Source organism: Homo sapiens, chromosome 2 (genome assembly GCF_000001405.40).
Source record: "Homo sapiens chromosome 2, GRCh38.p14 Primary Assembly".
In the NCBI taxonomy this organism is placed as follows: Eukaryota; Metazoa; Chordata; class Mammalia; order Primates; family Hominidae; genus Homo; species Homo sapiens.
This window is the reverse complement of record NC_000002.12, coordinates 134,291,040-134,318,952: the sequence shown is the minus strand read 5'-3', so window position 1 is coordinate 134,318,952 and position 27,913 is coordinate 134,291,040. Positions and strand designations below refer to the sequence as shown.

Genomic DNA, 27,913 nt, shown 5'->3' with positions numbered 1-27,913 from the left:
AAAAGGAAATAGCTAACTAACTCCGCTTATTTTTCCCTCAAGGAGAAAAGAAAAACATCATTCCTGGAGAGGTAGGGAGAGTAATGAAGGACGGAACCATAGGTCCTCCACATAAAAATACCACACGTTTTCAAGCTTTTCAAATTTCAGACTCAGCTACAGAACAGTCCAACCAGTCACATCTACCCCCAGGAGCCACAGAAAGCTACTCACCTCACTGAGGTAAATAAAAAAAGAGCAGGTGGATCCATCCACTCCATAGTCTGCGTAGCAGGGATCTGAACGCCACATGTCTTTCATCCACTGAAACAAGAAGAACATCTCTGAGCAGCCCATTCACAGGCCCTCCACATCTGCTGACAGGGAAGGCGAGGATAGAATGGTGAAGATGGAGTGAATGGCTCAAGCTGTGGCCTAAAGAACTGAGTGACAGGGTCACTGAGCCGAGGTCAAGATAGCCAGGTGTGCAGCTCACCTACTTGGACGATTAACAGGAAGACACTGGCTTACGTTAGGCCTCAGCAGAAGCGCTTAGAGTGGAGAGTAAGGTCGTGGTACAGCAGGCAATAAAGCCCAGGAGAGGCGGTGGCTTAGGGATTTTTATCAAGATCAAGTGCCTAATGGGACTCTGATATCTACACCCCCTCCAGGAACTCCAGTTCCAACAGCCCACAGCATGGTACCTGAAATACAGTGCGTGAAGGAGGGCACGGACGAGCGTTGACGGACGGCCCACATGGATACCACCCAAATGCTTCTGGGGTTGGTCCCACTGTCCTAACTACATCCCTGAATGGACACTGTTCTCTGAAAACTACTGAGCAGGGAGTGGTCTCCCCAGGGGCAGGCCATACAAATAGGATTTCTGGAAAAAAAAGCAGCCAAGTAAAATAGCAGCCAAGTGTCTCTCAGTACTCAACCACAAATACAAATGTGACACTTAAACCACAGTCTGGAGGCTTCAGAGCAGGAGCCTGGGGACTGAGATGGTGGGGAGTTGGACACTAAATAACAGCAGTTCCTTGTCATTGGTCCTTCAAGGATCACTTGCTGGAGGCTGGGAAACAGAGAGGGGAAGTCAGCTTCAAAGACTCAGCAGGTGCCTGAAATGGCCCAGGCTCTCTCATGCTGACCAGTGAGAGCCACTGTTGACCAACCCCACATGGCTGACATAGGCATAGCAGGGTTGTCATAGCCACAGACAAAGCCGGCAGGATGGAGGCACCCCATAAATGATCCATGTCAAGGGCTCACTCACCCATTTGTGTCACTGAGGAGGAAAAGGAAGAGAAGGGAAAAAGAAGGGGTGTTTGTGCAGATTGGGGATGATGCTTGCCTCTGCCTTACCTTGATCTTTCCCTCACAGTGAGGGTAGCCGTCCATAGGAGGCAATACACATTTTTCTTGAGCTCCGTTAATGATATCTGTGAAGAATGAAAAACAACAAAGGATACAATGAGATCTATAAAACACAAGCCTAACATTCTTGTAAGCCAAGAGGTAGGGAGAGAAACCAAAAAAGAAAGGTCTCTGTTGGCAGCCATGCTCTGATACATGGAGCCCCTCCAGCTCCAATATATCTAACTGGTCCAGAGTGATGACTGACCTGAGGACAGCCCAACTACAGGCTGGCCAGAGACCTATGACAACATGTGTGGCCCGGCTTAAAAAAGTGAGCCAAGCCAACCAGAGCGCTTACTTAGAAATCAGCAATAGGGAAACTAAGAAACCAAACAAGCAGGGAGCAGGAAATAAAGCCATGTGATTAGGAGGGTCCTCCAGCACTGGTAGGGACATTCTAGGCTATGTGGGCAAGCTGGGGCCATGAACAGACCTCGTGAAGACAACTGCATGAACTGAGAAAGCCAACAGGCCAGAGAGGTGTGAATAGAGCTGGTGCACAGAGAGCCATGAGACGTATCTACACCATCCTAAGGAACTCCTGCCCTGCATCCATGGGATACAGCTTCTTACAGACCCAGTCCTTAGATTTCCATAAAGTTCTCCTTATTGTTTTAAATACTTCCTCACAATAAACTCCTTTTATATTAGCTAGCTTGAATGGGTTCCTATTCCTTGTAACTGTAGGGTCAAAACGAAAACAAATGCCTTTGAGAAGCTAAGGGTCATTTCTTTCTGATAGAAACATTCAATATGCTCCTCCTAGCTATTTAAAACCATGTATTATTGTGAACTAGAGTCATCCTACAGTGCCATAGAACACCAGAGCTTATTCCTCCTGTCTAGCTATAAAGAAATGAGAAATGTTTGAGATTATGAATATGCTAATTACCCTAATCTGATCACCGTACATTTTATGTATCACAACATCATATCACTAAGTGCCCTATAAATATGTGTAATTATGTCGATTTAAAAAAAATTAAATGAAGCTTACGGTCTAATGGTGGAGAACATACAAATAAATGAACAATGAACAATGTAACAACAGTATAACAGGCATTATGGCAGGGCTGGGCAAGGCAAGATACCCAACCCACTCTCCAAAGCTCCAAGAAGGCCTCCTGCATCCAGTGACATCTTAGCCAAGATGTGAAGACAAAGTAGGAGTGAGCCAGCCAAAGGGACAATCTAACGATGCCGTTCAAGGAACTGAGGTGGTCTCAAACAGAAAGAAGTGTGAGGTACTCAGGACAGACAGGAGATGCAACAACAGGAAAGGCTTCAAATGCCACAATAAGTACCCTGATCTTTACCCTAAGAACACGGCAGAATAATGTTATGGAGGGGAAGATTATGATCACACTGTTATGTAGGAATGACCATTTTAGTCGGAAAACAAGACAACCCTAAACCTATATGCTTCTCTTTTCAGAGCTACTATATTTTCCAGAAATGTCTGGAAAATATCATTACCTACTGCCGATAGTTTTCTAAAGAAAGCATTAATCAAAAATTAGATTCCAAACTGCAGTATTATTTCACAGGGGTATTGAAATGATAACTCAGTGGCTGCTGGGACTGAGACAGAAGTTAGTGCTAAGGAGGATTTTACCTGCCCCTTGAAAACCAGTTATTTTGATAGTGTGTCACCAAAATTCTTGACCTCTTGATTCAAGTATTTCAACAAGCCCTCTACCTGCTAAGAATAACTAGAGCATAAAAATAAATACCCTATTTCTCATGGGTCTCTTACTAGTTAAAATGGAGGTTACTTGGCTTGTCAGAGCCCCTGTTGCATGATCTGTAAAATGGGAATGACTCCGCCTCTATTTCATCCAGCTCTTACTAACCATCAAGAGGCTGGCCTGGCAGGCCCAATGGCAGATACCACGGACCACAGCAGGTGCTTAAAAGTTGGCATTTGCTATGTAATTCCACACAACTTTTACTTGCTATATCTGGGAAAGCAGCATTTCAAATGCACAGACACTTCTGGAAAAGCATTCTGTGTTTTTGAAATAGATGCAGACTTGAGGTGGGGCTCTCCTTCTAGCTGCCAGCTCCAGAAGCCCTAAACAAATGGAATGCCTCACCAAAGAATAGTATTTTGCAATGACCATTATTCCTATCACTATTTTTCATTCTGATTTTGCTTGTCAATGCTTACTTGGCATGATGGGGGGTTTTGGCCAAGCAAATGAGCAGCAGCAGAGGTTCCACAAAATTAGGCACAGTCTATGAGAGCCTGGGGTTGGTAATCAGACATTTTAGGGGGTACTTGGTGGGGAAATGCCACCCCCTTTACACCACAGATACTATTCTACTCCTGAAATATTCACTGCCATCTAGAGGCTACTGACATGGTGGTGTGGTAGGGCAGGGTGAAGCAGGATCACTGAATGAGAAAATAAACTAACAGGTGCATGAAGGCCTGCAAGCAACGCCCCAGGGCTGACAGTGTGGGTCCATTCATTAAGAATTTCAAAGAATAAAGTTAAGGGTCAGCAAACTTTTTTTGTAAAGAAACAGAGAGTAAATATTTAAGGCTCTGTGAGCCACAAGGTCCCTTTCTCAGCTACTCAACTCTGCTGTTGTCATGAAAAAGCAGCCACAGATAACAGCTGAACGAATGGATGGGCTGTGTTCCAATAAAATGTTATTTACAGAATCAGGCACAGACCCCCCTGTTGCTATGCTAGGAGATTCCCAAAGCAAGGCCCCTCGTTTCTGCCAAAGCCTGCTGGACTGACTTCTTTCAAGGCTCCCTGCGGGCCTTCCTCTCCCTGGAACGTCCTTCTCCTCAGTCCTTCCAGGCCACCACTCTTCCTCTGCCCAGTTAAAGCCCCTTCCTCTTTCTTCAGCTAAAACAACAGTCCTTAGTTCTTCCTTCCCAAGCCTAGTCAGGATTTTGTTAGGAATCCTGTCCTCCTCTGGGCTTCCCTGGCCTCCTGCTCATGTCTCTCCTACTGCAGAGAGTGATCACGTTATTCCTTTATGGCAGTCCATCTCCCCTCCTAGCACATGAGGAACCTATAGGAAGGTTATGTCTTCCTGCTGGATCTCCAGACACTAAGTGCCATCTGACTGAATAAACATAGGCATGTTCCCCTCTGCCCAACGGGCCTGACTCCTGGGCTCAGGGAGAACTAGACTGAGCAGAGACTCCCACCAGGCCAGGGCCTTTCCTCTTCCTCAAACTGGTGGTTTGTCAGCTAATTCGACAGTCTCCTCTGCAACTCCATGTTCTTATACACGAATTTTCTCTCCTTTATTTAGTTACACAGTGATGGGTATGAATAGATAAGGGGCTTCCAGAGGCATTGGCTTAAGAGTGCTCAAGGTTCTCAGGTAGAGGGAATCTGTGACTGGGAGAAACTGGGAGTCCCAGCCTTCCCAGCATGGGGCAGAACTGCTCCCAAACCTGACCGGGAATAACCTGACCAAGACTTTCCATCACACCATAGCTCATAAGGACTTTCAGCTCCTTTTCAGAGGATGGCTCCTCATTTTGTTTCTATCAAATGACCAAAATTCTATAAACATTTTTATTAGTTTTTGTCCATGGAGGACCTTCCTACCTGTGGAAATGTCTCTCATTTAAGTTTGGTTAAGAAACAAAACTTTGAGCCAAAAAAGGTTAAAGTTACTGCTTTCCAGAGGAAACTGAGCTTACTATACACAAGCTCTCTTCAAAAGAGGGAGGTGGGTACTATGCTTATAGCCTGGGTGACGGTATCCACGGGACCTCAAGCCTCAGCATCACATAGTTTACTCATGTAACAAACTTTTATTATAAAGAGTCCATGTCATACAAGTTGAAATAAAATAAAAAGTGAGGGCATAAAAAGAAAAAAGAAGAAAGATCCTGCCAAGATATGTAACTTGAAAGCTCTGCCTACTGTTTATCCCAAGCTTTCCCCATGCCATTTTTTTTAAATGTTGAAAGGGCAAGGGAAAATAAAAATTTTAAGTGTAAGCAATGAAGCTCAGCTCTGTTTAGGATTCGGTTTAATCCGTTACCCTTACACCAGCCCAGGTTGCAACATCTTTCCCCCAAAACTTCACCTCTGTATGATCCTATGGCACTGGCAACCAGGTATCTACACAGAAGGCAGATTACACAGGTGTAAAAATTCTGTTGCTTTATCAGTCACTTGTGCCCATACGATGTAGTGGGTGTTCGAATATGGGTTTAATCTAAGTGAACAAACACTTTTCCTGCCATCAAAAATGCTTAAGATTCAGGAGGAACATACACACTGCAGGAGCAGAAGCAGCACGAGATGTCACAAATACACGCAGCGGGGGTGTTCCTGTGAGGCGTGGAGACAGATTCTCCCTGACAGTCCCAACAGACACACACGTATCGAGAGAGACGTGTACAGAGGGAAACAATGGCATTTCACATTCATATTAAGAAGCGAAAGGGACAAAGAAATATGAAACCAGACAGATATGTGTGTGTGTGTGTGTGTGTGTGTGTGTGTGTGTGTGTGTGTGTGTGTGTGTGTTTATTTCTTGCTGTCTGTGGCCTCAGAGCAAGGAAGGAAAAAGGGGAGAGTCAGGGCAGGAGAAGTTGGTACGGCGGTCTCAAAGGAACGGTGAGAATAGAAATAGCGTAATACAGGACAGGAAAAGAAATGGATGGGGGATAACTTGCCTTGATACATCACATACATTATCCCGTTTTAGAAAAAAGGAAGATGGTTACCTCATCTGACAGTCTGAAAAGGAAAGCCTTTAAAATCCTCAGCACTGACCTCCTAATTTAGCCCACCTTCACTGGGCATCTGCTGCCTGCCACGTGCTGAAATGCCAACACTGCATCCTTGTAAGACTCAGCCCTGCCTTCTGGGGGCTGGCACACGTGGGAGGAAGGGAAACCACACACAACAGTGAATGAAGTACCCGGCAACGAAGCCTCCTCTACCCGTCGGTACTCCCAGGATATATGCCCAGCACACTGGAGACCCCATCTTGTTTAATAACGGAAGGAACAAATGCAATGAAGAAATGGAGTGCCCAAGTTCCAGAGAACTGAAGAGGAAAGAAAGTGCCACAGATAAAAAGCAGTGGGAGAGCCTTACTTGGAGTCACTGACCCAAGGAGTCCGAGTTCTGGACTGCACATGCCACACAGCTGAGGAAAACAGCAGGAAGCTGCAGTAGTGGGAGACAAGTCATTCCTGATGCTGGGAGAAGGGACATGGCCTAGCCCCCATGTGAATTACTGACAGTCACATCTTACTGGTATTCAAAAAAGAGAGGTTTATGGTTGTATGAGAGATTTTTTTTTGTTGTTTTGTTTTTTGTTTTGAGACAAAGTCTGGCTCTGTCACCTAGGTTGGAGTGCAGTGGCACAACCTCAGCCTCCCAGGTTCAAGCAATTCTCCTGCATCAGCCTCCCAAGTAGCTGGAACTACAGGTGTGTGCCATTGTGACTGGTTAGTTTTTGCATTTTTAGTAGAAATGTGGTTTCGCCATGTTGGCCAGGCTGGTCTCGAACTCCTGGCCTCAATCGATCCATCTGCCACAGCCTCCCAAAGTGCTGGGATTACAGGCATAAGCCACTGTACCCGGCCTGGAGAAAATCTTAATGAATCATTTGTTAACTGTCCCACTGCTTGTATAAATCAGATGCTAGGTGCCTTGGGTGTCACACAAGGCTACTTGCATCTTCTAATTGCCTAGGATCAATATTTATACGTATATAAAGATGCTATCGTCCATTTCTTTTTAAGTATCACCAACTATCAACTACGCGGCATCATAAAACATTCACTTACTACAAACAAAGTTTTTAATAACCACTCCTCACTGCTGAACAAAGGAGATCTGGAAATATGGTTACAAAAAGAATCTCAAAAACAAAGAGGCTGGAAGTCAGGGGCTAATCTCACTTCTGCCAATGCTTAAAGGTGGTACCATGTGTAAGAATCTCAACTACCTGTTCCTAGGCGAGGATGATAAAGTGAGGAAGTGGAATGGAGGAGAGTGGATGCAAGAGAGAGAGAGAGACAGGAGTTTGCATGCGAGCTCACACAGAAGACAGTTCTTTCAGAGCAATGGCTGACCATATTAGGAAGTGAGCCTTTATTAAGGCTCACTTTTCCATACACTAATTCTATATAGCAAAGATGACAGGTGTTGTTTGAGATGACACTTGTTTTTAACAACCTGTAGAACACAGGTCCATTAACTTTTTATCTAGTTCTGGACAGGCATCTGATAGATTAAGGGCATCTAAATCCATCGCCATTGCCATTTTAAAGGTTAAAAAAAGGAAAGAAAAAAATAGAAGAAAAAGTAGGTTTATAAAAACTCTCAGAAACCTCAAAGAACATGAGTATCTGTTGACCCCAGGAAGTTACAGGAAACTGATTCAATCTCCTTACCCAGTTGTTTTGCCGACCCTAAGATTATCAACTTCACGAGCAAGGGCTCCATTCAGGGCAATGACACTCTAAAGATATTTTCTCTCAAAAGATAAAGTTCTCCAGCAATTCTATTTTGTGTCAGACAAGGTAGCATTTCTCTTGGCACACCTGATATGAACATGTGGCCATGCTTATCAGATGGCCCCTGCAAAGTGCAGCCAAATGAGCGTGCCACTGGCCTGGCTGCTCAGCCATGGCTGGGAACCGACTCAATCTCCACAATGGGCTTGGAGACACAGCTCTTGCCAGCACCTCCATCAGCTGGCTTGGCTTCAGGAGTGGATGGCAATAAATCAGACTGAAGCCAGCCATGATGGAATATAGTCTCCCATTGAAAATGACCTCACCAGTCACTCAGCTTGGCAAATATTCATTTAGGAATGCTTTACTTTTGCACCATAAAAAAAGTAATTTGATTTCTGTAACTAAGTCATGTACATGAATTCCAGAACCAGGGCCCCACAGCAATAGGAAGTTCCCTCCCCAACAAAGCAATTGAGAAGTCAAGACATGGGAAACAGGCAAGACTCACTCATGGACCCCCAGAGGTGTATACTGGGATCTTTGAAAATACTTGTTTATATATCATTTTTGTTTTGTTTTTTAATCTAAGTTGAAAATAGAATCATCATTGCATAAAATAATTTTAGAGCTGCAAGGGACTTCTGAAACCACACCATTCAACCCTCTAGTTTTCCTGATTCATAACAGTAAGGCCTAGTGAGATGAAGTGCCTTCCTCATTTATGGATTAAACAAAATCCACTAGCACCTTCCATATGCAAAGCACTCTGCATGTTCAACGAGGCATTTGCCTTCTGAGTCAAGATTATTTCCACAACACTGTTGAAATGCACATCATCATCTTCATGTTCTGCATGGGAAATTTCAAGAGTGAACACAATTAACAAATTCTTATTCCCTCTTGAAGAAGCACCTCCAAGGGCCTCATGGACTTGCTGTATAAAAACCAGAAGCTACAGTACTGCCTGTGTACAAATACTATGGACATAATGGAACTCAACAAGAAAATCAAATTCAGTGTATATATATGGGTTCTCTATGTATAGCTTTTCAAGAATAGAACTAATGTATAAAAAGAATAAAGTTGTGATGACTATGAAAACACACTGCCAAGATAATGTCATAAAATTTCAAATCACAATTCAGCCAAATAACTCCAGATTCTTCATACCTCCTTTTGTCATACCCTCTGTCATTTATTTAATCTATTTTATGGCAGAATTGTCGAATTAAGCTGTTAAGCCAGCATTAAGATTTTTCCTTTTTTTGGTAAATTAGTATTAAAAAGGGGACCTAGGACTGAGATTCTCAGTATGAAAAACAGTTATATAAGAATGCTATACATACACACAGCCACAACATCATATATACACCAACCCTCCATTCTGATAAGCCCCACGGTGCTGCTACTAGAAATGGTCAGCCAGGGAAAAGGTTATTCACACACCTAGGAGCACACACATGATAGGAAGAACACAGCTGGGGTTAAATAATTGCTACTGACAAAAGTAGGCAGAGCTTATCATCATTAGTCATCAGGGAAATGGAAATCAAGAGCACAATGAGGTACGACTTCACATCAACTAAAATAGTTATAATAAAAATTCAGACAATAACAAGTGTTGCCAAGGATGTAAAGAAAGTAGAACCCTCAACTAGTAGAAATATAAAATAGTGTAGCTGCTTTGGAAAACAGTCTAGCAGTCCTTAAAAAGTTAAACAGACTTATCATCTGAGTCAACAATTCTACTCCTTGGTTTACACTATGAAAGAATAAAAACATAACTACACAAAAATTTGTATGTAAACATTCATAATAGCCTTATTCATAACAGCCAAAATTTGGAAACAATACAAACACCCATCATCCAATTAACAGACCAAATATGGTATATCCATAAAATGGAATATTATTCAGCCATTAAAAGGAATGAGGTGCTAATCCATGCTTCACAGATGAACCTTGAAAACATTATGCTAGATGAAAGCAACCAGTCACACAGGCCACATATGAGATTCCATTTACATGAAATGTTCAGAACCTATAGGCAAATCTAGAGAGAGAGTGAATTCGTGGTTGTTTAGGGTTGAGGAAAGGGAGGAGAGGTGATATGGTGTTTCTTTTTGAGGTGATGAAAATATTCTAACACTGACTATTGTGGTGGTTGCACAACTGAATATACTGAAAGCCACATCGAACTAATTATTTTCATTTTTTGTAGAGATGAGGTCTTGCTATGTTGCCCAGGCTGGTCTCAAACTCTTGAGCTCAAGCCATCCTCCCATCTCAGCCTTCCAAAGTGCTGGGATTACAGGCATAAGCCACCATACTCGGCCCTAAAAGCCTCAAATCAAACACTTTAAATATGTGAAATGTGTGGTATGTAAATTATCTCAATAAAGCTGTTACAAAAACCAGAAAAGTTCTGACATTGACTCATTCAACAAATACTGCACCTAAATTAGAGCATTTGTCATGATTTCAGTACCTTCCTGGGAAGCAAAGAGAAACACAAAACATTATTCACCTTGAGGGAGCCTTAAATATGCTTAGAACCCAAAACTTGCTCACCAGAAAAGGCAATTAACAGCCCAATGCCATATACACTTTCCATGGGCTAGTAGATGGGACATGCGATGAGCCAGCAAAATGGGAAGAATGTGGAGCCCTGAATGTCAGTGCAGAGAAGAGCCATTCTATTGGTCTGGACTGCTCACTACTGGATTATCGTGTGACAAGAGAAACCATCCTCTGTCTCATTTCAACCCTGAATTTTTGGGTCTCTTTGTTGCAGCAACTTAGTTTAAACCTTAAGTAACCACTGGAAAAATGGGATTTGAGTTGAGCTCTAAAGTAGAAGTAGACAGGAGAGAAAAGGAAAGATGAGTACACTGAAGAACAGCGTAATAATGATGGTAGCCAACAGACTGAGCATCTACTAGTAACACCACTGTATCTTATGTACACCGATTACTCGATTGAGCCTCACAATAATAAGTACTATTATCCTTCATTCTACTACAGAAGACACTGAGGCCCAGGCAGATTAAGTAACTTGGCTAAGGTCACAAGTTAGCCATTCCTAGCCCTATCTGCACATTTAAACATTTCTTGGGGACCTTTTAAGAATGTGCCTCACCCTCCAGGCATTCTTATTTGAGTGGCCCCAGGCAGTGGTTCTGCTACCCCCTTTTTTAATGCTCTCCCAACCTCAAGTGATTCTAAAAGGCAGCCACAGCTGGGAATCAATAGAATAAAAGGTGAAATAACACTGAGGAAAAGGAACGGCCAGAGATGGAAAATGGATTTTATGTTATGTTTCAACAATTAGAGTGTTTTACCAGGACAGCAAATCTACCCACAGTGGGTAGGCATAACCAATCAATCATCTCTGTCTGAGAGGGCACAGGAGAGCAGAGCGGGACAATTTGGTTAAAGCAGGGGACTCAGGGTAGGGTAGTAAGAAATACGGTTGGAAAGGTATGCTGACACGGCCTGCCACAGAATCATGAATTCCAGCCTCAGAACATAATTTATCACTGTTATCACAGCAGGAAACCGGAAGGCAACTGAAAACACTTGCGGAGTTTCAGTACAATGGCCAGGGGAAGTAACTAATGTTCTTTGAGTGGAGAAACAACATTTTGAAAAAAAGGTGACATCCAGAGGAAAAGGGGAATGAAAGTCACATTTTGTGGATAAAAATGTGACCATGTGTAATTTAAAAGATATTACTGTATAAAATCTTTACAGTTGAATAGAGTTTATATCTAACATTGTAAATGGCCCCGGAGTTGAAAACTGTCTTTCATTAGTAAGGAAGTCAGGGGTGTTTTTCTGACACAAGGTCTTCAGAACAAATTAAGAATGCTCAAGCCCCCTTCTTTGATTAACAGCAGCTTCTAATGCTTTTCTTAAATAGTCTCTTTAACATCCATTTTCATTAAATTAATGAAAATTAATTAAACATATTCCAAAATGCCGTCATCCCATCGGCCTCTAAAGTTACAAAGCTATAAAAATCTGTGTTCTCTAAATCTCCAAACAGTAGATCAACCCTCTCGTAAGATACTATCTGGCCACCATGCAAGATGCCTCCTCATTAGGAAGAGGCCTGCTCCTGGAACTGACACTGAAATGTATCAGCAGAGAGTAGCACCCGCATGTCCCGGTCTTTTAAAGTCCTTGACCACACTGAACCTCAGCAATGAAAAAGGTAGAAAATGTCATGACTATGCCCTGGAAAAGGCAGGGGCTTTGTCTTGTAAGAGATCTCAGCTGGGATTATCTCTCTGCCTTTTATTAATCACATAAGCTGAGCAGGTTACTTAACCTTCAGGAGTTTCTTCACTCAAAAAACAGAGTCAGCAAAGCCTTCTAACATCTGAGTCACCCTGGCTCCAGGTACTGTACCTGGCACTCATTTATAGCCTCATTCACCCTCAGGACAAACTTCCGAAGTAAAATATGGGATTTTGAAAAAGATAAAGCCATGAGAAGGAGAGATTGCCTGCACCACACTGAAACATCACACACTAGCTCTCATTAGATCATTTAATCTATTTGTACAATATACTCGTCCTATTGTATATTCTCTGTGCCTGTCTTGTCCGTCCCTAATTAATTTTGTCACAATGCTTGGTGGGGTATGAGGTATAGTCAACGACAAAAATGCTTTAGATCTTTTTCAATGAATATAATAGCAAAACAGTGTATGCTATATATATTCTAGCAGCTTTGAGACTGGAAGACAAAACTGAGTTTGTAATATAGTTTGGATAATTAGAGTGCTTTTTAATGCAAAACTCTGCATGTATTCATTTCTATGTAAATACCATTTTCTGTAAGTTTATATTTAATTTTTGCTATCATTTCTTCTGCAACAAAATGTTCCTTAGTATTTTAAGTAATGATGTAAAGGATATGAAATATTCCACGTGGGTATCATATATGTACTTAGTTACAACAAATGGGCCTAATAGGAAATAAACTAGGAGAATGCTAGTTTTATACATCAAAACAAACAAAAAGTTATACAGATATATTCCCAGAAAAAAAAGTTTCTATACATACATTTAAAAGAATAAGATATAATGCTAACATACTGAGACAACCTCAGCTGTCAATTTTGATTTAAGAAAATATACTGAGAAATAGGTGGGAGACATTAAAAATTCAAGATACTTGCAAAACTGTATTATATTCTCGAGTTGGGGGCCTAAGGTGATATTTATAACGATTCTCCTTTTCCAATAAACAAAATAGTGCCAAGCTTTTGCCAAGTCCCCTCTTCTCACATGCAGTTTACTAGAAGAAGGAAAGGGTGTTACACAGATAACTTACTGTAACAGTGACATGCCCTTGCAACACAGAGCACCCATATCTCACTTCAACCTCTCAAAGAGAGGTTTGATTTTTCTTCTAAAACAGGGTTCCATGTTAAGCACAGTTCATAGATTTCTGCCTGTTCTTATCAAACTGTCAAAGGTGTCTTGAGTTTGGATTTTGTTAAAAATGAAAAGCAAAGCCATACATGTAGTTTATGTGTGTATATTTGTATTTCCTTTTTGCAACTGAAGAAGAAAAGAAATATGGAATCAATAACTGAGAGAAGGCTAGCTATATCCTTGGGCTGTTTTAAGATAGTATAAATTGCCCAAAATAGGTGTGTGCTCTTCATATCACACAATGCCCACTTTCTGAATCACTTGTCACAAGCGTCTTATAGCTGTTGGTTAGAAACAGGGATTCTATCTGGCCAGCCAGACATCTAGAGGCAAGGCGGAAGTGCTTCGACTATTCTCTTAACAGGAGATCAAGAAAAATTTTTGTTTTCACCGTCTCGCATAAACTGAGGTTTTCATTTTGTTTTGGTTGCTTGGTTGTGGTCTCTTACCTTACTTTTTTAAACAGAAAAATAAATTGCAAGATAATGCAGAATTGAGATGACACCTTGATAATAAGGTTTTGGTCCTAGAGAAAGTAGGACAGAGAGAATGTATAAAAGAAGCTGAAAGCCAGAATATTTCAAACACCCACAAGCACAACAAATTCTTGGGTACGGTTTGAAGAAAGGCTAAAAGCTATTTAAATTGTAAGTCTACTGTGACTGATCCAGAGTGATATGAAACCTACAAGCCATTGGCATAAAATATACATGCCAAGCCTGCTAGGTAATGTCCTTGGCTAGGATGCCTCTTAAAAACCAGATTGTGCCAGGTGCAGTAGTGCATGCCTACAGTCCCACCTACTGAGAAGGCTGAGGCAGGAAGACTGCTTGTGCCCAGTAGGTTGAGACCAGCCTGGGCAACATAGCAAGACATGTTAAAAAACAAAAAATCAGGCTATCTTACAACTTAATTCCTTAGAACTTCTCCCGGCCCTTAGCAGGTATTCCTTCATGTAGAAAAGAACATGCTTTGTGTTAAGACCATGTAAATTTGGATACCAATACTCTGCTTGTAAAGTTAAGAGACTAATGTGCATATTCTGGGATGTTACAAGTATTCTTATAATCCTGGAATGCTATTCATCAACTCCACATAAAAGGCTAATGAATTTGTGAATGCAGGTTATTCCCAGTAGGAAACACAAAGGTTTTCAACTGCCTGGGAATTTGTTCGTTTCAGCAAGTAGTCTGTTCCCAGATGAATATTTGGTTTTTGAGTTAGCTCTTAGAAGGCACTGATCCTCAGGTGGTGGGATTACTACCTGAAAACCCATTCACCATCCCAGTATCCAGAATAAAGTGCAGTCCCTTGCTTACCCTCCAGCCATGGCATCCGGATAGGAGAGCAACTGTTAAATACATACGGTCCTTGCCAACCTAGAAATGGTGGTTATTGTATATTGTACCTAACAGAAAAGAGCTAGCATGCATACCAAAACCAGGGGGAAGGCAGCACTGTGGTAACAGATAATTCAGACAGCTTCCCAGCCCAGAGCACGCTGCTAAACTACACTACCTGTGTAAGATCCACATAACAGTTAACCTAGGATTCTTTAAAAACAAAGCAGAGAAACTATGCATTGGCAATAGCAGAGAAGCTTGTATTGGAACAATCTTCCCACAGATAACACTTACAATATGACACTAAAGAGTGAGGGAAAGTGAGCAGAAACTAGAAGGGATTTGATCCTTAAATTCTTTCTGGAAACTACACTGAATAAGACTCACATTTATATGGCTGTGCCCCAGAGGGGACTATCAAGTCTGGAAGGTAGCAAACAAAAGGCTACAGTCTCACTGGCTTGAGGTTTCATAGAATGAAGTTTTGCATAGTAGTGAAAAATTAAGGTAGCATATTCCCAAAAAGAGGGAGCCCAAAGAGGAGAACCCCAAAGTCTGTATATAAACTACCTTAAACTTCTTGAGCGACCCTAAAACTAAGCATTTGTGAGGGAGGCTCCAATAAAAGTTCAAAGTATTCACAAGACTTCAGCTGCTGCTCACTGCAGGGCAGCCACAGTTTAAACCCCAAAAAGTCAAAGGGTCAACATTTCAGGCTTTCCATGAAACCCCAGAAGGGCCTCACATCAGGCCCAGGACTTCAGATGGTCCAAGACTAGGGAAAAAAATGGAAACAGACACACCCTAACAAATCATAAAAGCAAGTCTTCTTAAGTTCAAGGCAGTAAGTCAGTAATTTAACTGCCTACTAGAAAAAAAATCAGTACTCTTCAGAGGAAGTTTACCGAACCCAGACACTCTATAGCATATCCTTGTCATGTCCAATACATAATAAAGAATTATTAAACATGTGGAGAAACAGGAAAACGTGAACAAGGCAAGAAAAACAGTCAACAAAAACAAGATGACGCAACTGTTGGAGAACTAACAAAGAATTTAAAGCGGTTATTATAAATAAGATTAAAGACAAAGGAAAAACGGTCATCAGTGAATAAAAGATCAGTAAATTTGAAAAACAAAAAAGGAAATTACTTAACCTAAAAACAGAGACATTCAAGACTAAGACAAATAAAACACATAGAGTCTCCATGACCTGTGGAGAACATCATGTAGGCGAACCTTTGTGTAAACGGATGCCCAGAGGTAGAAAAGAGAAAAGAGACAAAAAATATTCGAAGAAATAATGGCTGACAACTTCCCAAATATGTTGAGGAACATTAACTTCAGATCCAGCAATTCAGTGAACCACAAGATAAAGACAATCACATTTATTATAATCAAACTGCTAAAAGCAAATGAGAAAGAGAAAATGTTGAAAGCAGACAGAGAAAAACAAGACACATTACATAAAAGGGAACAAAGATGGCAATGTCACCTGACATCTCGTCAGAAGAAGGAGGCTGGAAAACACACACACACACACACACACACACACACACACACACACACACACACACACACAGCATTTCTTAAATGCTGAGAGAAAACTTACTGTCAGCTCAGAATTCTATATTTATGTCTTTGAAAAATGCCAGCCCCTACCAAAAAAAGCCTTTTTAAGATAAATGAATAAAGATTTCACCCCCAGCAGACCTGTATGGCAAGAAATAATAAAAGAAGCTCTAGGTTGAAAGGGAAAGGACATTAGATGGTAACTTGGAACTACAGAAGGGATTAAGAGAATCAGAAATATTAATATGGGGCTAAATATAAAACACTATAGTGTTTTCCTTCTCTTCATTTCTTTATCAGACAATTGACTGCTAAATATAAAAATCATATTAGGGCATAGTGAGATTTAAGGCCTTTATAGATGTAAGACATTGAACAACAATAGTACAAAGGATGGTGAATCAATATGCATTAAACATGAAATGTATAATATTAACTCTAACTATACCGTGATAAGAAAATATATTACAATCTCTGTAACAAGGGATGGCAAACTAAAGCCCTTAAGCCAAATCTGGCCCACTGCCTGTTTTTGTAAATAAAGTCTTATTGGAATATGCCCAAGCCAATCATTTACATATTGTCCAGTGTTGCTCTTGTAGTACAATGACAGAGTTAAATCACTGCAACAGATCACAGACCATACGGTTTGCAAAGCTAAAAATATTTAATACTTGGCTGACATAAAAAGTCCGGCTTTACATAAGAAGTTTGTCAACCCCTACCCTATACAGTTCTTTGGTCTTACTATTTAAGAATTTTTTTGGTATCTAGGAAGTGGAATAGTGAAGACTTGCATCCCCCAGGTCTCTTTCATTTTGAGACAAAGGGTCCCAGCTTGTGCAGGAATATCCATACTCCAAGGCTGGAGGCAAAATCAAGCCAAAACCAAAAGCGAACTGACATGAGTGTTGCTTTGTAATTATGAGCTCCAGCTCATACTCATGTGTTCCAGCACGTCCTTATTCTCCTCCAGTTACCGTTTATCTTCCCTTCCTAGCTGCCTGCCCTGTGGATGCCAACTCCATCATCAGACATAAAAGCAACAGCGTTACAGAAAATGTTAAACCAGCTTCCAGAGCTGTGTAAGGTCAAACCCCTTTGACAAATCCCTTAATAGACACACGCCTCTCTTGGCAGTTCTGCCTCTCTGATTTAATCCTAAACAGAGAAAAATTAACCAAAAAAAAGTAGGTTCTTTAAAAAGATGAATAAGATTTATAAACCTCTGGCAAGAGGGATCAAGAAAAAGAAAACATAAATGAGTAATATTAAGAATGAAAGAGGGATATCACTATAATTCCTATAGATGTTAAAAGAATAATAAAAGAATGTTATGAGTAACTTCAGAGCAATAGAATCTACTACTTAGAAAAAAAGACAGGCTCATGTGTCTCTAGCAGCATTATTCATAACAGCTCACAACTGGAAATGACTCACATGCTCATTATCAGGAAAACAGATAAACCAATTATGGTATGTTCATACAACAAAGTACTGCTCTGCGATTTTTTAAAAAGAATAAACTATTGACATATGCAGCACCATGGATCAATCTTGAAAACGCTATGCTGAGAAAAAGAGGCCGGACTCTGCAAAAATGTTCATACTGTAAGATTTCATTTTGATGATGCTCAAGAACAGGCAAAATTAACCTATGGTGATTGAAATCAGAGTAGAGAGTGCCTATGGGGGATGCAGACTGAATGGAAAGAGGCATGGGGGAACATTCTGGGGTGATGAATATGTTCCTTATCTTGCCTGTGGTGATTTTATAGATATATACATTTATTAAAACTCATCAGGTTGTATACTTAAGAACTGGGCTGTGCAGGGTATGAAAATTAAGCTAAGTTGCTTAAATGTGTGCTTTCTCTGTGACTTAAGCACACAGATGAAGGACAATTTTCCTTTGCTAATCTTTAACAACTAACCCTTTGCCAACGACCTTCACTGGAACTTACTCTACAACAAGCTCACATGCAACCTAAAGCACCTCAAATAACACCTTCAGTGACTTCCAATATTACATTTCATTGTGGGCTGGCAGTGCTAAAGGGTCCATCTCTTTAGTTTGGTTACAAAAGTGCATAAAACTAAAGTTTAATCTTCATCTTGGAAATTGTAATCTTGGACTTAAGTACAAACTGTTGGTAAAGTGTTCTTCTCTGTCACTGAGTGCATTTAGGTGTCTCCTATTTGCAGTGAACTAGTTAATTGTGTATAGTGTTGGGCCCAAAGCTGAAGAGAGGTTTAAAAAACAGCCTTTACTCCATTAAGGTTAACCGCACATGTGCAGAAAGAGTCACTAGTACTAGGAAATAATTCACCCTCAAGACATTCAGCAGAAGGCAGGCTGTGATTTCATTCCTAATCCTGTCTGTAGGCTTCGACAGAAATCACCCGACTTCAGATTTACAACATGCCATCTTGATTTTTCAGCCTATCTGCAGGACCTGGCTCTGTCTTACACAGTAAGTGCCAGTGTAAGTACTGAAAAGAGAAGATGGTCTAAATGAGGGAAATCTGAAAGGTAATCAGGAATTTATTATTTTCCAGCATCATGCAGTGCTAATAAACCCAAGGGTCAGAGAATGGTTGCTTCTTGCAAAAGTTATACTGAACAACCAACAGTGTAAGGAATTAATCTTCACTTTACTTCTGTTCTGCTCACTAGAACATAGAAATGAATATAACAGCAACCTCTGCAACAGGGCTGCAGATCAAAGAGTAATCACTAAAGCTTTCTATAATGATATGACAAAATTTCATGATATGAGCTTACAGGTATTCAGAGAGTTATATTCAAGGTGAGTGCAAGTCAACTGGAAAGCCAGGGAGGAATTTCTTAAGCAGCAGCAAGGTTTGTGTGTTCCAGGGAAGATCCAAGGGTGGGTGTTTGCTACAGGAAGAGAGAACTGCAACAAGAGGCCTTTGGACATGGACTATGGGATTAAAGGAAACCAGCTTTGAAATGGGAACTTTTTAAAATTTTTGAATGGAGTCTGTACACATCCAATCTGAAAAAATTCATGAGGAATAAAAGAGGGGACAGGGGATAAATATTAGATACTGGGTTTGGGCTCTACCACTATGAAATCAGAAGAGGGGATTTTAACTACCTTTACCAACACTTGTAGTTCATCTTGCTGAAATAAAGAAGATCCTGATTCAGACACACTGCATTTTAAAAAACAAAAAAGCTACAAAACCTTAAATACAAATCTCACTTCAATTTATTCAACTTGATGAAGGTTGCAATTAGCATTCCAAACCCTACCTTACCTGCAGGCCTAGCTCAAGCTCTCCTCTATCTGTGAAACTTCACAAGAGTACTCCAGCTCGCACAGGTACTTCCAGGGTGCCTGTGAACACCTATAAAATTTTTAGTCTATACTGAACAATCTAAAACTAAAAATCTGGTGTTGGCTTTGACCATCCTCTAATTGGAATTTGTTTGTGTGCAGAAATGCACATACCTACAAAGACTGCAAAGCCAGTGAGACCAACTTCCACAAAGTCAGTGGCCATGTGTCAGTCTGCTTTTGTATGCTCCAGAATAACACTGGCTCACAGAATTGACAGAGATTTTGTGGACTACAGATGATGATAGTGGTATTGACGCTTGGAAAGATATAAATTCTAGGGAAGAAGAAGAAACGATGGGCAAGTGTTTTTGGGCAAGAAGGAAAAGTACAATTGGGAAGATCTAGGTAAGAATATTATTCTCAAATGGGACACTAACTTTCACAAGAAAGCAGAAGAATTCTTATCTTCTAAATGTGACTTCCTTCTTCTTCCATTCTTCTTTTGACTTTTTCATTCAGAGGGAAGGTACAGTCTTAAATTGCTTTCATGCTTCCTGCCTGGAATCGTCTTTCATACAGAACACTCAACCAGCCCCAATCCCAACCCATGGTTCCTGCCTACATAAACACACTCAACCATCACCATTATGAACTACCTCTTCTCCAATTCCTATCCTAGACTAAGCTCTCAAGTATACTTCTGATCACATCTAATCAAAAGAGACTCCAGGAGACCACCCAAACCATCTGCAGTACCAAATTTATTGAAAACACCTTCCAACATCTGGAAATTCACAACTATATTTAGTTGATGTTGAATTATGATAAACAAGGATTTGTTACAACAGAATATGATCCGCATGGTGTCTAACTGCCCTAACAGCTCCTCTGATTTGCTGATCATTCTTAGGAGTGGAAAAAATATAAGTGACATAACTTATTATGAAAAGAAATAGTGTTCTAACTCTACATTTTTTATAAACACCATAATTTTTATTTGGTGATAAATAATACAGAGATAGGCCAGGCATGGTGGCTCACGCTTGTAATCCCAGTACTTTGGGAGGCCGAGGCAGGTAGATCACTTGAGGTCGGGAGTTCAAGACGAGCCTGGCCAACATGGTGAAACATCGTCTCTACAAAAAATACAAAAAAATGAGCCAGGTATGGTAGCATATGTCTGTAATCTCAGCTACTTGGGAGGCTGAGGTAGGAGAATTGCTTGAACCCAGGAGGCGGAGGTGGCAGTGAGCCAAGAGTACGCTATTGCACTCCAGCCTGGGAGACAGAGTGAGATCCTGTTTCAAAAATAATAATACAGAGATAATATTTTTCTCTATTATTTATACAAATAATTCAACATTAACCCAAAGAAATACACGTTCATACTCTAAAAGAAAATAACTGGTTTTAGAACCTCAATTTAGCTAAACAGAAAACAGAACAAAACTTAAGGATCTAGTAGACTTATTTTTTTAACCTATATTTGTTTTCCTCAATTTTTATCAGAAAAAAATTTGAAACATACACAAGGATACAGAGAATGATACAACAAATCCCTTCTACCCATCACTTAACTTCAACAGTTAACAAATATATTATTGAATAGAAGTGGCAAGAGTGAACAGCCTTGCCATTTTCCTAATCTTAGGAGAAAAAAAAAATTAAACAGTTCTTTTCTAGTAAGTATGATGTTAACCTGTATGTTTTTCCTAGTTTGTTGAGAATTGCTTTCATGAATCAGATTTTCTCAAATGCTTTTCTGCTTATATTAAGGTAACATGATTTCTGACCTTTGTTCTATTATGGAGTATTATATTAATAGATTTCTGAATGTTAAACCAACCTTGTGTTTCTAGAATAAATTCCAATTGTTCATTATATATAACCCTTTTCATATGTTGCCAAATTTGGGGTTCTAATATTTTAAGAATTTGTGTCAGTGTTTATAGGAGTTCATGGTCTGTTGTTCACTTGTGATGTCTTTGTCTAGCTTTGGTAACAGGGTGTTACTGGCAGAATGAATTGCAAGGTATTCCCTCCTTCTATATTTCATGGAAGAATCTGTGAAGAATCAGTGTCATTTCCTCTTAACATACCTAAAAGAATTCACCAGTGAAGCCATCTGAGCATGGGTTTTTCTTTGTAGGAAAAGTTCTAATTATTAGTTCAAATTCTTTGTTATTGAGCTATTCAGATGATTTTTTTTTTTTTTTTTTTTTGAGACCAGGTCTCAGTCTGTTGCCCAAGCTGGACTGTAGGGGCACAATCAAGGCTCACTGCAATCTTAATCTCCTGGGCTCAAGTGATTCTCCCACCTCAGCCTCCCAAGTAGCTAGGACCACAAGTGTGTGTCACCACACCCAGCTAATTTTATTTTTTGTAGATAATGGGGTCTCACTGTGTTGCCCAGGCTGATCTTAAACTCTTGGTTTCAAGCACTCCTCCCGCCTCTGCCTCCCAAAGTGCTAGAATTACAGGTATGAGCCACTCCACCCCACCTTCAGATGATTTTGAGTCAGTACAGATTGTGTCTAGGAATTTTTCCATGTCATCAAAGTTGTGTCATTTCATAGTATGAACTTATTCATTGTATTACCTTGTAATCTTTTACATTTATTTTAAATTTCTGCAATCTTCCCTTTTTTGGATTCTATATCTCATAACATTTGAATGCATATTTTTTTTCCTAATCAAATGTCAAGTCTATCTTAACAAAGTAAAATAACAGAAGAAAGAGAGGTTAAGTGGAATAGATTACAATGTCTGCAGAAACAAGGTCAGTTGTATAAAAAGATTTTCTATTTTTTACTGTCTCTTATGTACTTTATAAGACTAAGGAAAGTGGTTTTCTTTCAAGTACTATAATTAATTCCTGGGGTGAAAGGGAAAAACAAGACAAGGGGAAAAAAAGAGGAAGCAAAAGAACCATAGGTTTAGTCATATGCTACAAAGGAAAAAAAAAGAATATTTAACCTTCCATCAATAAAAACTTGAAGCCAAGGATAAAAAGAACAGGAAATTCACAAAAACTGTTAAGAGCCAGGCAGCCACTCCCTCGATACCAAACCAAGTAATTTAATATTCGGCATTTCTTTAATGCCCATAAATTCCAGAAACTGACTCCCAGGTCCAGCTAGTTTTATATGGTGGTAATAACTTTTAAAATTGTGTGTTATTTTTTAAATTCCATGTGTCCATCCCCAATTCTCTGACACAGCCACAAAGAAAACATGGTAACTAAACTAGAGTCGACTTGGCCTACCCAGCTACATGAAATTCCATGAGTTTAGTCTGTTTCCCATCCTCCTCTTTACCCCACCTCTTGGCCTAAACCGCCAAGATCACAGTATTTCAAGAGTCAAAATTCAAATAAGAACAAACATGTTTGCATGAGGCTGCCAAACACTCCTAGATGAAATCCTCTTCCCTTCCAAAGAATTTTACCTCTAATTTCCACCTCCCAAATAAAAATTGTAGTTATTTTTGGGTTGCACTACAAATAATAAAACCACAGATTCTTAGGGTTCAGAAGGAATGCTGTAAATCCACCGAACCCATCTCCCCACCCTTAAGCACTGTTTAGATTAAGACAGGGGAGTATCTGTTATATTAAGGCAAGAGGCTGAACTGAAACAGACTGCAACTTGGTATAATTCAAGCTTCCCAAAACCATTCCTGTCAGGTAGCAAAGCTGACCAAACAGTATTCCTGATGGTTCCAATAGAAACTCCGAACAGCCCTTTCCTGTTTGGCTGCAGCCAGCAACAGCACAGAAGAGCCACAAGCCAGCCACTACTGGCTGTTCTTGTCATCCTCGAAGAGAATCTGGGTGACAAGTCGAAATGGAATGAATACCCTTAAAGTGACAACAAAACTCCCTACTAAAATTATGACTGAGAATAAAAGAGAAGGCTAATCCAGAGGGAAAAATATTTTCAACATCATTGAAGATTTTTTTCCAATTATAACTTATTTCGCAGCTCTTATGTTTGGAAATTACTGCAAGAGGATCCTAAGATACCACATTTTCCCTGCCTAAGTGAAGAAAGCCACACAGTTGATTGGGCCTACTAAGCTCCCAATTCCACTGCCAACCTTAGTCACTTCTAGCACAATCCAGTTCTATTATGGCTATATTCAACTTGTAAGTACTTTCACCATAGTTTCTAGATTTTTCTGGCCATTCTCATTGTTCTTTTCTGGCATCTTCGAACCACTGAAGAGCCATCAAATGTCAATCAACATAAGGAACATCTAAACTATATACTAAAACCTACTGTTAGAAATGCTTGTTCCTCGGTGCAATAAAGAAATAGCACTTGAACATAAATTTAATTTCCTTAGCAAGGCCATTTTTACTTTCTACAGAAAGGGTACACTTGCCAGCAGTTTTGCCACGATAGTACACCGAACAAAGGAGGCAGGGTCATTTATAAGTTGACGCGTCCACCTTACTGCTGTGTCCAGTTTCCATTGGCTGGAACAGGACCTCACATTCTGTATTTGTCCTGATTGGCTAGCAACTTAGAACATTTTAAAAGAGGCAAAGGCAGAGGAGAACAAAGGAAAGAGGAAGTAACTTGTGAAATGCTGAGAAAGGTAAAAACACATTTAAATAAGGAAGAGGAACAGACTATGACCTAATGCTTGCTTGGACCAGTATAAACATACTTATAAGCAAATATTTAGGCTAAATTGTGGGAGCTAAGAACATAAAGTACATTGATTTCTTTATTACGGCTAGCAGATATTTAAGAATGTTAGCACAGGTCTTTGAATAAATTTTGCTTCTAAGAGAAGTTACTATTTATTCTTAATTAGACGGGGAGGAAAGTCTTTGAAGAGGAACCTCTATTTTTTACACCTACCTTCTATAAAACCAAGCCCTTGGCATTCACAACTACAAATCCCCTTACACAGAACTTGACCTGCAGTGGTATATACCTGGAACAAAAATCCTTGGTTAGACTGTATGTATTTCTAAATTTGTCTCAGAAATATGAACATCATACCCCGAATACTTAGTCTTAGTGGTTTGTGAGGCAAAATCACCCAGCAGCTCCAAAAAGCCCCTACGTTAAGACCTTATATTAAGACTTGGAAACATGAAAATAAAAATAAAAACACTGAAAACAAAAAGTTACTTTACTGCCAGTGCAGAGATCTTCCCATGACTTAACAGGTCTATGGGGCTAAACCGCAGAGAACAATGGATGCCTTATTTACCTGATGATGCCTAAAACAGTGCAGAATAGCCACCCTGGAAGGTAGAATAAAACTTCTCTCTCCTCCATTTGCCTCCTCACTCAGAGGCAAAAGATTTGAGGCTGTAAGAAAAGTGACACATCTTTACACTGAACATGCAGTGCTCCATGAGGCAATCTTTTCTAGATCCACCTAAAACAACTACGAGGAGTCTGGGAAGCCAACGAACAAAGGGGGCAAGTTACCTGCCTAGGATGTGGTCCAGCCCTCCTACCTCCCTACTCTGTTTCACATCCTCCACACACTTCTGTATGAGGAGAGGAGATGGTCTCATTTCATGCTAGCAAAGCCATAGTCGCAGACCTGGGAGCCATCACACATCATGGTGTCAGCCAACTGCAGACTCAAGGGGTTTGGCTGCTATCAAAATCTATAGTTTTCCAGCTTGGCTTTTCTTCAATTTAAAGCAAGGAAGCACTTTCGGAGGCCGAGACAGGTAGATCGCTTGAGCTCAGGAGTTTGAGACCAGCCTGGGCAACATGGTGAAATCTCATCTCTACGAAAAATACAAAAAATTAGCCAGGCATGGTGGTGTATACCTATAGCTCCAGCTACTCAGGAGGCTGAGGTGGGAGGATCACTTGAGCCTGGTGGGCAGAGGTTGCAGTGAACCCAGATCGCACCACTACACTCCAGCCTAGGTGACAGAGTTTGACCCTGTCTCAAAAAAATAAAAATAAAAAAATAAAGCAAAGAAGTGGGGGAGGAATAAGAAAAGGAAGGGAGGAAGAATACAGAGGCACATACGTAAAAGAGGGAAGAAAAGGAACGGAGCAAAGCACTTACTCTTAACATCTGTGGGCTTAAATGTTATTTCCCTCGCATACGTATACTAAAATCACAGCACAAGTAACCAGCCTAGTGCCTGGAAACAAGTACCCACTGATAATGTATTCATTTCCAATTTAATGAATCTACCATCCATTTTCAATTTTCGTATTTTCTATTCACTGAGTAGTAATGCTTATTATCATATACATGTTATAAAAGCATGCAAGAGAAGCAAGGGTGCACAGTGATACCCAAAATGAATTGTAATGAAATGAGAATAGGCTACCTTTCATGTGTGAAGGTGCCTTTCATGTGTTAAGGACCCACACTCCCTGGAGGCATGCTTGCTAGCTATTTTTCCCAGTGACAACAATGCATTTGCCCTATGCCAGGCACACATCTGTGAAGGTCCATGACCTCCATCTGTTATCTGTTTGGAGACCCCACCTTGAAGCCTGGCCTTCTGAGTACCTGCTTATTCTTATCACAGGTATGTGGCTCAACTGCAGGGGGTTTCAAAGAGCTGCAAGAGCAGCAAGTCACATAACACGCTTTGATAAAGATCCTCTGTATGTCGTTGAGAGTCTACAGCACAGCCACTGGTTACAAGAGCTACCCCTTGCTCGGAGTGTTAACACCAGGTGTGGCCCATGGCATAGAACACAGATGAAGGTAGATCCTAACAGGAAAAACAAACAAGACAAACAAAACACCACCACACCTAGTAATGACTGGCAGAGCAAAGGTGAGGGATAGCAGAAAATAAACCTGAATTGTATTAAAATCACAGAAGTTGAAGACCTTAAGGAAAATCCAAAGCTCCTAATTTCAAAAAGAAAGAAACCAGAACCTGGCTTTATCCCCACGTTTAAACCTTCCGTTAGCAGCAGACCCGGCAACAGAAAGCAGTTCTCCTTTTACCCAATGCACCCTGTCGGATTGAAGAGAGTTGTTCCACCTGTGAACTGAGGGACCCGAATCAAACCACTCCTCTTTGACCTTCACTGACCTCCTCCAGAAGAGGAGAGACTTGCGAGGATTAAATGAGATGCTATATGTGAAGCAGAGTCAGCACTGAGTAAAAGGCATTGGGTCTCAGAATGTGTTTTCCTGTCTCTCAATTCCAATTGCTATTAACAGTAAATACCTTCCCTGAGGTACACTCAGTTCTGAGGACCCAGACGCAATCTGAAAACCACACACTACTGCTATGACATTCACTAAATTGATATTCACTAAATTAGGCAACATTTGCCTTGCAAGATAAAGAAATGTTTCCTTTTATTTTAAAATTATCAGTGGGCCCAACCCTTTTAAAAATTAGAAATGCCCATCTCTAAACAAAAAAAAAATGGTATAATCATATATGCCAACCAGGCCTGACAGAACCACTGAGTTAATGAATCTGAGACGGACACCTTCTAGAGAAACAGTCACGGAAAGTTCCAGAATGAACCAGATTCTATGACTGCCGATATAAAGGGAGAGACGAAGCACTATACCTAACGCCACTTGAGTGATCACCAAATGTAAAACATCAAAAGATTCTAGCAGGGCCCAAACTTTAAAAGCTTCTAGGGAAAACTGACTAAGCAAGTAGTCATAGCAGCTGTTATCACACTTAAATATATTCTCACAGTATCAAATAAGTGACCCTAACTTGCCTTACAGGGCTCTCAACCTGAGTCCATATGTCTCTTGCCCTCATTCACTGCACGCCAGCCACACTGACCTTACTTCGCCCTATGAACGTGCTAAGGAACTTCTCAAGTCCTGGACTCTCTCCCTGCTGTTCCTTGTCATGAATGCTTTTCCAGGTAGTGGCTCACTTCATTTATATATTGGTTCAAACATCACTCCTTCAGAGGCCTTCCCCATCCTAAACGTACCTTGTCTTAGTCTGGGCTGCTATAACAAATTACCACAGACTTTTATTTCTCATAATTCTGGAGACTAAAATTCTAAGATCAACATGTGGGAAGATTCCGTGTCTGGTGAGGACCCTCTTCCTGGTTAGCTAATAGCTATCTTCTCCTTGTATCCTCACAGACAAGAACAGAGAGAAAAAACAAGCTCTGGTGTCTTCTTCTAAGGGCAATAATCTCATTCATGAGGGCTCTCCCCTCAAAACCTAATCACCTCCCAAAGGCCCCAGACCATTTAACACCATCGCCTTGGGGGTTAGGATCTCAACATATGTATTTGGAGAGGACACAAACATTTAGTCCACTACACACCTTCAACCTCTTTCCCAGGCAATTTTCTCTTTTAACCTTGCTTTATGTTTTGTGTGTGTGTGTGTGTTTTCTAAATAAGATTTCTCACTCCTTGACATTACAT

The 27,913-nt window shown here is 40.5% G+C and overlaps 1 protein-coding gene across 23 annotated transcripts in view; it reads right to left on the bottom strand.

Moving 5' to 3' along the window:
* The window catches only part of MGAT5 (alpha-1,6-mannosylglycoprotein 6-beta-N-acetylglucosaminyltransferase), a 334,687-nt gene that overhangs the window by 135,669 nt on the left and 171,105 nt on the right, over positions 1-27,913 (bottom strand). For all 23 annotated transcript variants that reach the window (XM_006712534.4, XM_047444397.1, XM_047444400.1 and 20 more), the window contains 2 exons: positions 1,348-1,424; positions 214-303 (listed from right to left, as the gene is read on the bottom strand). In XM_006712534.4, coding sequence (XP_006712597.1) covers positions 214-303; positions 1,348-1,424 — 167 coding nt within the window. The remainder of the gene's footprint in view (positions 1-213; positions 304-1,347; positions 1,425-27,913) is intronic.